Source organism: Homo sapiens, chromosome X (genome assembly GCF_000001405.40).
Source record: "Homo sapiens chromosome X, GRCh38.p14 Primary Assembly".
Classification (NCBI taxonomy): Eukaryota; Metazoa; Chordata; class Mammalia; order Primates; family Hominidae; genus Homo; species Homo sapiens.
Window position 1 is genome coordinate 3,271,306 of NC_000023.11, and position 14,393 is coordinate 3,285,698.

General features: G+C 40.0%; 1 long non-coding RNA gene across 1 annotated transcript; it reads left to right on the top strand.

Annotated features, from left to right (window-relative positions):
* LINC01546 (long intergenic non-protein coding RNA 1546) lies at positions 515–13,348 on the top strand. The gene is made up of 3 exons (NR_038428.1): positions 515–613; positions 992–1,067; positions 12,850–13,348. It is a non-coding gene; the product is annotated as a long intergenic non-protein coding RNA 1546 (long non-coding RNA).

Sequence of the window (14,393 nt, forward strand, 5' to 3'; positions counted from 1 at the left end):
GCATTGATAAATCTGCTTCCCCCTGCAGCTCTTTCCAACATAGCATGTCTTTAATTTATTACCCCTTTGGCTTAGCTCAGGGATCACTGAGTTCTGCCAGCTAGCATGATGTTAAATCCATGCCAAGTTTATGCGTCCAGTATTTCCAGGTGGCTTTCGAGAGGGGTCGTGGAGACAGGCAAGAAAACACACAAGGCAGCATTGTGCAAATTCAGTGTCAACTCCTTACATCTGCCCCACATCCCTTTCTAATTCAAGGCCACTCAGCTGATTCCCGCAGAGACTTTCGTTCCACGGTGGCTTTCCACCGTCCAGTGGTACCTCTGTAGCTGCCCTGACTCACTGTGCCATCAAAAATCTCCTTCAATCAAACCAGCCTCTGAATGCACTCGACAAGGTCCTGCATGTTGAAGCCTGCAATCTGCAAATCTGCACCATCTTTCTAAAGCTGCCTGCTGCTTACATTTTGAGAGGAGGATGAGGTTAATTATCGGAGGTGGAAAATAAATATCACAGAGCAGCTGGACATGGGGGAGCTTGCAGCGTCAGCAAATCATGGACACTCACCCTGCTACCCAGAGAGAAAAGGGACCCCTGGAGACTTGAGCAAAAGGTTGAGTATTTATAAGAAATGCCTGTGTGGCACTCCGGGGCACCGGTAAATATTTCAGAGGCAGGCATATTTTCCATAACGGATGACTGTTTGGGTGGGCAGGAAGTGGAGTTGCTATGAGTAGTCAGAATAACATTCCAGGACTGTAAATGCTTAATGAGCGTGTGTGTGTGTGTGTGTGTGTGCGCACACAAACACACAAACACACACACACACACACAGAAAGCACCATCTTCCTCAAAGAGAGGAAGTCCTTCATTGTTGAAGAAACCAAAATAAAATGACTTGTGGTTTTCCCCATGTCCTCTTGCGTTGTAAGTAAATACCTTCATAGAGACTCCATTTCTCCAAACCCTATTTATTCCCCATTCTTTGCAGAAAAATGCTGGTACATTTTTACCCCAGGAGGCACAGCCACCCCAGAGCCACACAGCAATGGATACTTAAGAATAAGGTAAGGTTGAGTATTTTTACTTTTATTTTTATTTTTTGAGACAGGGTCTCCCTCTGTTGCCCAGGCTGAAGTGCAGTGGTGTGATCTTGGCTCACTGCATCGATCTCCTGGGTACAAGAAATACTCCCACCTCAGGCTCCCAAGTAGCTGGGACTACAGACATGCACCACCTGCCTGGCTAATCTTTTTGTATTTTTTTGTAGAGATGGGGTTTTGCCATGTTACCCGGGCTGCTCTCGAACTCCTGAACTCAAGCAATCCACTAGCCTCAGCCTCCCAAAGTGCTGGGATTACAGGCATGAGCCACCACACCTGGCCTCTTATTTGTAATTTTTAAACGTTTTTTTATTTTTATAGATTTAGGGGATACCAGTGCAGTTTTGTTACATGGAGAGATTGCAGAGTGCTGAAGTCTGGGCTTTTACTGTAACTATCACTCAAATAGTGTACATTGTATCCACTGGGTAATTTCTCATCCCTCACCTTCCTCTCCCCTCCCTCCTTTCCCAGTCTCCAATGTCTCTTATTCCACTGTCTATGTCCATGTCTACACAGTGTTTAGCTCCCACTTATAAGTGAGAACATGGGGTGTTTGTCTTCCTGTTTTGGAGTTGTTTCACTTAGGATAATGTCCTCCAGTTCTATCCATGTTGCTGCAAAAGTCATGATTTCATTCTTTTGGGGGGCTGTGTACTATTCCATGGTGACATGGTTTGGCTGTGTCCCCACACAAATCTCATCTTGAATTGCAGCTTCCATAATTCCCACGTGTTGTGGGAGGGACCCAGTGGGAGATAACTGAATCATGGGAGCAGTCTCCGTCATAATGTTCACATGGTAGTGAATAAGTCTCACGAGATCTGATTTTTTTTTAAATTATACTTTAAGTTCTAGGGTACATGTACACAACGTGCAGGTTTGATACATAGGTATACATGTGCAGGTTTGATACATAGGTATACATGTTGGTTTGCTGCACCCATCAACTCATCATTTACATTAGGTATTTCTCCCAATGCTATCCCCCCGCCAGACCCCCACCCCCTGACAGGTCCTGGTATGTGATGTTCCCCGCCCTGTGTCCAAGTGTTCTCATTGTTCAATTCCCACCTATGAGTGAGAACATGTGCTGTTTGGTTTTCTGTCCTTGTGATAGTTTGCTGAGAATGATGGTTTCCAGCTTCATCCATGTCCCTGCAAAGGACATGAACTCATTCTTTTTTATGGCTGCATAGTATTCCATGGTGTATATGTGCCACATTTTCTTAATCCAGTCTATCACTGATGGACGTCTGGGTTGGTTCCAAGTCTTTGCTGTTGTGAATAGTGCCACAATAAACATACTTGCGCATGTGTCTTTATAGTAGCATGATTTATAATCCTTTGGATATATACCCAGTAATGGGATTGCTGGGTCAAATGGTTATTCTAGTTCTAGATCTTTGAGGAATCACCACACTGCCTTCCACAATGGTTGAACTAATTTACACTCCCACCAACAGTGTAAAAGCATTCCTATTTCTCCACATCCTCTCCAGCATCTGTTGTTTCCTGACTTTTTAATGATTACCAGTCTAACTGGCATGAGATGGTATCTCATTGTGGTTTTGATTTGCATTTCTCTGATGACTAGTGATGATGAGCATTTTTTCATGTGTCTGTTGGCTGCATAGATGTCTTCTTTTGAGAAGTGTCTGTTCATATCCTTCACCCACTTTTTGATGGGGTTGTTTTTTTCTCGTAAATTTGTTTGAGTTCTTTGTAAATTCTGGATATTAGTCAGATGGGTAGATTGCAAAAATTTTCTCCCATTCTGTAGGTTGCCTGTTCACTCTGACAGTAGTTTCTTTTGCCGTGCCGAAGCTCTTTAGTTTAATTAGATCCCATTTGTCTATTTTGGCTTTTGTTGCCACTGCTTTTGGTATTTTAGTCTTGAAGTCCTTGCCCATGTCTATGACCTGAATGGTATTGCCTAGGTTTTCTTCTAGGGTTTTTATGGTTTTAGGTCTAACATTTAAGTCTTTAATCCATCTTGAATTAATTTTCATATAAGGTGTAAGGAAGGGATCGAATTTCAGCTTTCTACATATGGCTAGCCAGTTTTCCCAGCACCATTTATTAAATAGGGAATCCTTTCCCCATTGCTTGTTTTTCTCAGGTTTGTCAAAGATCAGATGGTTGTAGATGTGTGGTGTTATTTCTGGGGCCTCTGTTCTGTTCCATTGGTCTATATCTCTGTTTTGGTACCAGTACCATGCTGTTTTGGTTACTGTAGCCTTGTAGTATAGTTTGAAGTCAGGTAGCGTGATGCCTCCAGCTTTGTTCTTTTTGCTTAGGATTGTCTTAGCAATGTGAGCTCTTTTTTGGTTCCATATGAACTTTAAAGTAGTTTTTTCCAATTCTGTGAAGAAAGTCATTGGTAGCTTGATGGAGGTGGCATTGAATCTATAAATGACTTTGGGCACTATGGCCATTTTCACGATATTGATTCTTCCTATCCACGAGCATGGAATATTCTTCCATTTGTTTGTGTCCTCTTATTTCCTTGAGCAGTGGTTTGTAGTTCTCCTTGAAGAGGTCCTTCACATCCCTTGTAAGTTGGATTCCTAGGCATTTTATTCTCTTAGTAGCAATTGTGAATGGGAGTTCACTCGTGATTTACTTCTCTGTTTGTTAAAGGTGTATAGGAATGCTTGTGATTTTTGCAGAATTGATTTTGTATCCTGAGACTTTGACAAAAACTGGAAGCATTCCCTTTGAAAACCAGCACAAGACAAGGATGCCCTCTCTCCTATTCAACATAGTGTTGGAAGTTCTGGCCAGGGCGATCAGGCAAGAGAAAGAAATAAAGGGTATTCAGTTAGGAAATGAGGAAGTCAAATTGTCCCTGTTTGCAGATGACATGATTGTATATTTAGAAAACCCCATCGTCTCAGCCCAAAATCTCCTTAAACTGATAAGCAACTTCAGCAAGATCTGATGGTTTTATAAGGGGTTTCACCTTTTGCTGGGTTCTCATTCTCTTCTTGTCTGCCACCATGTAAGATGTGCCCTGCTCTTCTGCCATGATTGTGAGGCCTCCCCAGCCACATGGAACTGTGAGTCCATTAAAACCTCTTTTATAAATTACCCAGTCTTGGGTTTGTCTTTATCAGCAGCATGAGAACAGATTAATACACATGGTGGGTATATATACCACATTTTCTTTAACCATTCATGTGCTGATGGACACTTAGGTTGATTCCATATCTTTGCTGTTGTGAATAGTGCTACAATAAGCATTTGAGTACAGGTATCTTTTTGATAGAATGATTTGTTTTCCTTTGGGTAGATATCCAGTAAGTGGGATTGCTGGACGAGATGGTAGTTCTGATGAGCAGACTTTCTAAACCCAATAAAACCAAGTTTTTCCCAAGAAAGCAGTCCCATTGCTACAGATGGCAGGATTCCCCCCTTCCTGTGTACATGGCCCAGTTCTGGTCTTCTTTCCAAATATCTGAGAGATGGAAAGCTTTTCTCTACCCACTCAGTGATGTCGAGAGTCAAATCCCTAGGTAAAATGAGCTGCCAGTGAATTGTGTTGATGAGCATTGTAGGAATCTGCAATGGTGCAGTGGCATTAGGAGCCTGCCAAATGGGGAATGAGAAGGTTTCTTCCCAGAAGAATTTCCAATCACCTGGGTATTGACAGGCCAGAGAATTTAGTCCCATGGATGGTTTGAGTTGCTTCATCCAAAGAAATGTTGGAGAGAAGTTCATTCTCATCTGTTGTGTAGAAGATCACTCTCCACCTCCAAGTCTCTGGTTGTCATTAAAGACCCATCAAGTCTGCTGTGTGCCTCAGAGCCAGATTCCAAAATGCCCTCAAGCTGTCTTCAAGCTTTCTGCCCACAGCTCTGTAGCCAATTTGGGGCACGTGTACCGTCCACGCCCAGCAAGTGAAAATGCCAGTTAAATGGGCAGGCATCTGAATTCAATAGGCATGCATTCTCTTTCCACAGGGCAGATAAGGGATGCAGTGGAATGAATGTCTATGTCCCCTTCCCAAAATTTATGTGTTTTGGAATCCCAATCTTTACTATCATGGTGCTATGATCTGAACGTCTGTGTCTTCCAAATTTCATGTGTTGAAATGTTCACCTCCAAGGTGATGGTGTTAGGAGGTGGTGCCTTTGGGAGGTAATGAGGTCATGAGGGTGGAGCCTCATGAATGGGATGAGTGCGCTTATAAAAAGGGACCCAGAGAGCTCCCTTGCCCCTTCTACCATGTGAGGGCACAGCAAGAACATAGTGTCGTCTATGAACCAGGATGGGCATAGTACCATGTATGAACCAGGAAGCCAGTCCTCACCAGACACCAAATCTGCCACAACTTGATCTTGGACTTCCAGCCTCCAGAACTGGAAGGAATAAATTTATGTTGTTTATAAGCAACCCATTTTAATGTGTATTCATTATAGCAGCCTGTAAGGCTAAGACAGATGGTATTTGAAGATGGGGATTTTGAAAAACAGGTCATGAGAATGGAGCCCTCATGATGGGATTAGTGCCCTTATAATTAGAGACACAAGAGAGCTCATTCCCCACCCTCTCTCTCTCACCACCATTTGCAGACACAAGAAGGTAGCCACCTGCAAACCAAAAGGAGAGTCCTTTCCAGACCCTGGATCTGCTGGCACCCAGATCTTGGACTTCCAGCCTCCAGAACCATGAGAAATTGAAGATCATTGCTTTAGCCACTCAGTGTATGCTGTTTTATTATAGAATCCCAAGTGGACAGAGGCAGGGAGGAATATTATCCTGTTTCTCCAATGGTTGTCATTAAAGACCCATCAAGCCTGCTGTGTGCCTCAGAGCCAGATTCCAAAATGCCCTCAAGTTGACTTCAAGTTTTCTGCCCACAGCTCTGTAGCCAATTTGGGGCACGTGTACCGTCCACACCATTCCATGCCCTGGAAGTTGGCATGGAAAACAAAAATTGCATAATCTCCCTCATACGTGGAATCTAAAAAAGTCAAACTCATAGAAATAGAGAGTAGAATGGTGGGTGCCAGAGGATGGGGGCATGCAGTGTATGTTGGTCAAAGGGTACAAAGTTTCAGTTAGACAGGAAGGATAAGTTCTGGTGATCTATTGCATAACAAGGTGAGTGTATTTGTTTGTTCTGGCATTGCTATAAAGAACTATGTGAGACTGGGTAATTTATAAAGAAAAGAGGTGTAATTGGCTCATGGTTCTGCAGGCTGTACAGGAGGCATGGCTGGGGAGGCCTCAGGAAACATACAATCATGACAGAAGATGAAGGGGAAGCAAGCATATCTTACCATGGTGATGGAGGAGAGAAAGAAGGAGTGAGTGGGGAGATGCCACACACTTTTAAACCATCAGATCTCATGAGAACTCCCTGACTATCACAAGAGGAGCAAGAAGGAAGTCCACTCCCACGATTTAATCACCTCTCACCAGGCCCCTCCTCCAACACTGGGGATTACAATTTGACATGATATTTGGGTGGAGACACAGAGCCAAACCATATCAGTGACTGTAGTTAATAATATATCGTATATTTTTAAATTGCTCTAAAAATTGAATTTCAAATGTTCTCACCATAAAGACATGACAAATATGTGAAGTGATGATTATTTTAATTAGCCTGATTTGTTAATGCCACAATGTATAAATGTATAAAAATCACGTTTTAACCCATAAATACATGTAATTGTTATTTGTCAATTAAAAATAAAAATAAATTGAAAACTAAAAATAGTAAAGGGAGTTCCCTCCATGAAGGATCAATGAGTACATGCCATAGATTTAATTTTGACAGCAAGAAACAAGAAGGTTGCAACAGTCCAAACATTGTGTGATAAATGGTTGCTCTTAAAAATATTTTTATAGTTTGCCTCAATAAGCTAAGACATAAGTTATAATCTATTAGGTAGGAGTATATTCATTCAGTGGCTTACTGTTATACTCATAAACAGCTTCATCCTACTTACCCAAGGTTAGTTTTCATGAAGACTGATCATCTGAATAAATTTGGTTGCAAATACTAATTATTGAAATTAATGGATACCTACTGTGGATGTCTATTGTTCTAAGTATTCAACACATATTCAAGTGGGTTTCATCAATGACTAAAGCAAGGCTCTATTAACCTATTTACAACCAAGATGGCAGCCCAGTGTGAGACTCATGATGGTGGCCCACTGTGAGACTTCTCTCCCCAGCCTCTGGTAACCATCATTCTACACTGTATCTCCGTGAGATCCACTTTTTTGAGTTCCCACACAGGAGTGAGAATATGCACTGTCTTCCAGTGGCTGGCTTACTTCACTTAACATCATGACCTCCAGTTTCATCTATGTTTGAACAGTTTTAATCAACATGAAATTCACAAGAAAGCAAAAGAGTGGAAACAGGACTGCAGTCAATTGCCTTGATCAGAACCTGATCAAGAACTAGTCACCACTTTGGAAAACACCATCTATGGAAATCCTCCTGCTGCTATTTGAGTTGCCAACACAACACACCAGTGTTGGCAGTTCTGGTATCTATCTCAATGATTACATCTAGAGCAAACCTGTGGGTCTTTTGTTCCATCCCTACCTTATCATTTACCTATTAAAATGCCATGGTGTTTTAAAATAAGAGTTGCTTTCCTGTTACATTTCTGTTTTACATTGCAGTTACAGCCTCAAATACATGTTGGAAAATTATTTGTGCAGGTGTGTTCATTATCAGTGGTTTTCATTACATTTTTGTAAAAGGAATGCTATAAAACATTCACCATGAAAGAGAGTCCAAGTCTGAGAAAATGATCCTTGGAGGCATTAACCTATTTACAACCAAGATGGCGGCCCACTGTGAGACTCATGAGACTCAAAGTGGGCTGCTATCTTGGTTGTAAATAGGTTAATGGAGCCTTGCTTTAGTCATTGATGCAACTCCCTTGACTCTGATTTACAGGTGTATGTTGTTATTTGCAGCTTGCTGAATGGGAAGACATACAGAGGTTTAGAAAGTAGTCTGTGGATTACTACCTCTTCTTTATATAGTTATAGCTTGCCCAAGTTATATTCTGATACCATTCTTTCAATTTTCTTAGATCTTCTCTTTCGTTCTTTTTAAAATTTTATTATTATTATTATTATTATTATTATTATTATTATTATTATTATTTTAGAGACAGGATCTTGCTCTGTTCCTCTGGCTGGAGAGCAGTTGTGCAATCATGGCTCACTACAGCCTCAAACTCCTGGGCTCAAGTCATCCTCCTGCCTCAGCCTCCCAAGTAGCTGGGACTAGAGGCACATGCCATCACACCTAGCTAAATTTTTTAGTTTTTTTGTAGACACAGGGTTGCACTATGTTGCCCAGGCTAGCCTCAAACTCCTGGCCTCATGCAATCCTTCCACCTTAGCCTCCCAAAGTGCTAGGATTTATAGGCATGAGCCACTGTGTTCAGTCTTAGATTTTCTTAAAGCCTGGAAATGTTTGATATCTGTGTCTTATATTGTAATGTTTCAATTTTTTTAAGTCCCTGTGTGGATTTAATCTGCAACCCCACCATAATATGTTAAATCTTCACAGTGTCCTCATAAACTGGCTGCTCCTTTCTGAATTCCACCCATTTAGTCAGCTGAAACAGAAAGTTTTGGTATATATAAAGAAAAAAAGGCAGGTTGGTCCAGGAATGACTCACAGTCTTGTTTGCTAATTAGGTCATGATCTGAATGAGATTTGATGAGAGAGATTGCAGTCCTAACCAGTGGTTCTCAATGTCGAGGGAGCATTAGAAGCTTATGGAGGGCTTGTCAAAACACAGAATGCTAGGTCCCACTCCTTCTCATTTGGTGGGTCTAGGGAAGGATTCTAGAATTTGCATTTCTAACAAATTCCCAGGTGATGAGGCTGGTCCAGGTACCACACTTTGAGAACCACTGGGAAGACTGAAGAAAGTAACATGGGAGTTTTTCTAAGACATTTTATTTGTAGCCAATGAAGAAATCTTATAGCCTTCTCCCCTTTGAAACTTTGTGTGCAGGCAAGCAGGACCTGAAAGACTTACCCAACAACAGCTGTCTTGGACTATGTGTTATAGGACCACTGAGTCTGTATGCCCACTGTGCAGTAACAAACCAATACACTGAGACAGCAGGGTTTGCAGCAGAGAAAGAGCTTAATTATTGCAGCACACTGAGTGAGAAAACACTGACTCCACTCTCCCTGTGGAGTCCTGAGCTGTAGTTTTTAAAGGGATTGCAGAGGATAAGGGGCTGGAAAATTGGGGTCATTGACTGCTTTGGGTAAGGAGGATGAAGTCATCAGGATATGGAAACTGCATTCTTTGGTGAGTTAGCTTCTTGTGGTGTCCTTCAGACCACCTGGCATCAGTAGTTTCATCAGTATGCAGGACCTGAAAGAATATCTCAAAGGGAAAACTTGTTTCATAATGTTGAAGTTGTTATCTAGAAAGCAGTTAAGGGAACTCTAATCTAGGGTCTATGTGATTCTAGGACAAGAGGCACGAAACAACTATGACAAAGCAGGACAGGGAGCAAGCTGACCTCAGGATGAGTGTTGAGTGTGCTGTGAGCTTGGTTTATTTTCATTTCTCCCCTTTGTTTTTCCCCTGCTAAATTTTATGAAGTTTATAGGGATGATTTCACATGTGTGTTGATAGTTCAAGATGTAGCTCTGCCCTACTATGAAAAGTGCAGAAATCTTTCTCACAAAGATCATAGAATGAGTAAAAGTTTGGAAAAGTAGTTTCAAGGGAAGTTATCTTTCAAGAATAAAACTAGGTGGTCAGCAAGACAAGACCATATAACAGGTCCATATAACCACATGTGGGCTAAGGAACATGATATATTACCTGTTCTTGGTTCTTGTATCACCAGGACATAATTTAGGGACCAAGCTTTAGAAAACTTAGCACAAAAATTCATGGAGGGAGGAAGGGAGTAATATATTAACAAATTGGAAATAAACTGAAATTTTATCTTTCAGAGAGATGTGCAGAAATGATGGATTCCAGGGTAGAGACCAGATATGGCCAACAATTTGGGAGTGAGCGCATGAAGAGAACGCATTAGTTAATTATGAGAAAATTGCTATTAATTGCACACAGAATGCTGAGCTAAAATGATGGTAACCTGTGTTTAAAATGTATAAAAATTAGTGTGCAGGCACTGATTTGAAGCATGCTAAATGAAACTTTCCTTCCCTACAACTTGGCCTGAGATCCCACCTTGCTTGATTTTTGTTTCCCCCCTCCCCCGCCCCGGATTGTTCCACCAACATTCCTACAGGTTTCTTGGGAGCCCTTCCTCTCAGGGTCTACTTCTGAGGAATCAGACATAAATTACATGGATATAACAAGGCTTACAAATAAAATGAGAGAGAATCTGAGTATTTTTAAAAAATGTAATTGTATTTTTAGTTCTTTTAAAGAATGAAATTTAAAACTGATGAAAATTGGGTTTTGCTTTTTCTTTTAAGATGGATGTATTGAATACCCAGATTCCTGTTTTTCTCTGGGAATTTTACCCATGGGAGGCATCTAATGCTGGCCATGCACCAGCAAGAACTGCACATTTATTCTAATTTTAGTCCAGGATCTGCAGAAGCACAAGCCTTGCCATGGTGCTTCCTCAGAGGATGTCAACTGAATAAACAGAAAAGTTTGACTCAACATTGCACCTTTCCACTGTACAAAGCATTTTTCACTCCACCGTGGCTCCAATAGCAGGAGAAAGAACTGATACTCAGTTCAAGAACCTTGCTCTTTCTTTTGTCCAGCCACATGGCCCATTGATGGAGGGAGCCAGACACCCAAAGTTCTGCTTATACAGAAGGAACAGACAAAGAAGTTTTAGAGACCTAAAGAGGAGAGTCTTCATACCCATACTTCTTAGGAAATAATTAATGTTTCCCCTTTGTCTCAGCAAAGGAGATAACATTATACTTTTTTTTTAAGAAAGGAAATATTTTGGATTTAACAAAATTTAGTTTTTCATAGTTTAGCTTGATCAGTGCATATTTTTTAATAGACTTTATTTTCTAGAGCAGTTTTAAGTTCATAGCAAAACTGAACACGAGGTACAGAGAGTTCCCCAGACCTCCTGTCCCTATAAATGTATAGCCTTCCTCAACATCAATTTATCAACAGTGGAATATTATTCAGTGCTAAAAATAAATGAACTATTGAGCCATGAAAAGTTATGTATCTTTGTTGTACCAGTATCTATATCTATCTTGAAACATATGAAACATATCTAGAAATATGTTGAAGTTATATATATAATATTAGAATGGAATATATATTGGAATGAAATATTTTCTATATATTTATATATAAATATATAAAATATACGCATATAAATATTTACATAAATATATATTTACATATAATATATAAATTTATATAAATATCATATATAACCTATATTTATATATTTTGTATATTTACTTACTAAATATGAATATCATATAAATATATATATATATATATATATATAACCTATATTTGCCTAATGGAATACATGAATATAGGTTTAAAAAGTTTGTTATGAGTATCTGATATGGTTTGAATGTGTCTCCTAAAAAGCATGTGTTGGAAACTTAATTCTTAATACAACAGTGTTGGGAGGTGGAGTCTTTTGGGAGGTGTTTAGGTGATGAGAACCCTACTCTCATGAATGGATTATAAAAGGCTTTGAGATTGTGAGTTTGATCTCTTGTTCTCTCTCACCATGTGATGCCTTCCCCATGTGAGGAGACAGCAAGAAGGCCCTCACCAGATGCAGCCCCTTGATTTTGGACTTCCCAGACTCCAGAACCATGACTGAAATAAATTTCTGTTCATTTTCAATTATCCAGTCTGTGGTATTCTGTTATAGCAACACAGAACAGACAAAAATGTTATCTCTTGGTTGACATACCCCTTAATCATGGTTCTCCTCTTTTCCAGCCAGGCAAAATGACACTTTCAGCCATGAAGAAATGTTCCCTATCTTTCCATTTTCTCAATTCAAGGACCTCACTTTTCCTGCTGATTATTCTAGCAGATTTTCAATGCCCTCTCAGCAAAAGCAATACATTTTGTGGCTCTATATTTTGCAGAAATCACCTCATAAATTTTTCAATGCACAATTAAACAAAAACTTTATTTCTGCATTGCTCAATATATATATGTATATATTGAGCCAGTTAAAATTGTGCAGAGTACATTGTCTGGAAGGCCATCATGTTGTTGCTTTTCATTATGACTGACATGCCAGGAACCACACCAGAAATCCTAAAGGTGATAATAATTATCATTCACTATGCAACAAACCCAAAACATCGTTGAGATTTGTTGTTTACAGGCAAGAGTGCAAAACTCAGCTTCATCTCTTCCTAGAAGTGCCACATAAAACTAGTTCTCTTCTCTCCCTCAACTTGGGCTTGAGGCCATGTAGTGCATGCACACCTCTGGGGATTTCTGAAAGACTGTAGACTTCAGTGCAAAACGCCCAGCCCAGTGCCTAGCTCAAGATACTCAGTCAAGAGTTATTAATATTGTAAGTAATGTTAAGGAAGATATCAGAAAATACACATTAAAATATGGTTATTAAGGAAAATTCCAGAATGGAGCCACTTTATTTGACCCAACAGAGACATGGCATGTTTAGAAGGCTTCTGTTTGCATGAACTATTGGGAAAGCAGCTACAAGTTGATGTTAGATCCCGGTTAAATGCTGAAGTACATATACTAATTCTCCTGTTTCTGTGTCAGACTCTCTGCAGGAGGATCAAGGAGTAATAAAAAGAGCAGAATATCTGCAGCTGCCAAGACCTCGGCTCTAATTCTAGATTTGCAGCCCATGGCTGCACAATAGGCACAAGAATGAACCAACGTCACCACCAAGGAAAGTGGCACAGCTGAGCTGCACCCACGTCTGACTCCAAGGGACCAGCTATTGACAGCTATTCACCATTTGGTTTCTGTGTGTCCCAGTCCTCACGTGGAAAATGGGCAAATATTATCTGCTTCATCGGTATTCCTGGGAACCTAGAGGAAGCACTAGCCAATATCATTCACTTAGCATACCGGAGTTATCTTTCCATTTTCTTAATTCAAGAACCTTGCTCTTTTTGCCAATTATCTTAGTAGTTTTTCAGTGACCTCTCAGTAAAAGCAATGTATTTTGTAGCCTTGTCTTTCACAGAAATCGCCTTATAAATTGTTTGATATACAATTAAACAAAAACTTTATTTCTGCATTGCTCAAAGAATATATATTTCATTTGTTATAAAATATTATAGCATTCAGCTAAGTCTCATACATTTATTTATTTATTTTTATTTACTTTTTCTCTCCAACTTCTATTTTATGTTCAGAGAGTTCATGTACAGGTTTGTTAAATAGATAAATTGCAAGTCACGGGGGTTTGGTGTACAGATTATTTCATCACCCAGATAATAAGTGTAGTATCCCACAGGTAGTTTTTTGATCCCCACCCTCCACCCTCAAGTAGGCGTTGGTGTATATTGTTCTCACCTTTGTGTCCATGTGTACTCAATGCTTAGCTCCCACTGATAAGTGAGAACTTGTGGTATTTTGTTTTCTGTTCCGTTCCTCTGTTAATTCACTTAGAATAATGGCTTCCAGCTCCATCCATGTAGCCGCAAAGAACATAATCTCATTCTTTTTATGGCTTCATAGTATTCCATGGTGTATATGCACCACATTTTCTTTATTCAGTCTGCTCTTAATAGGCATCTAAGTTGATTCCTTACCTTTGCTATTGTGAATAGTGCTGCCATGAACATACACGTGCATGTGTCTTTATGGTAGAACAATGTATATTCCTTCGAGCATATACTGAGTAATGGGATTGATGGGTCGAATGGTAGTTCTGTTTTTGTTTTTTGAGAAATCTCCAAACTGCTTTCCACAGTAGCTGGGCTAATTTACATTTCCACTAACCGTGTATAAGTGTTCCCTTTTCTCTGCAATCTTGGGAGCATCTGTTGTTTTTGACTTTTTAATCATAGCCATTCTGACTGGTGTGAGATGGTATCTCATTGTGATTTTAATTTGCATTTCTCTGATGATTAGTAATATGGAGTATTTTTTCAAGTTTGTTGGCTGTGTGTTATGTCTTTTTTGTAGATGTGTCTGTTCATATCCTTTGCCCATTTTTTCTTTTTTCTTTTTTTTCTTTTTTTTTCGGAAACAGTATCTTGCTCTGTTACCCAGTCTGGAGTGCAGAGGCATGATATTAGCTCACTGGAACCTCTGCCTCCCGGATTCAAGCAATTCTCCTGCCTTAGCCT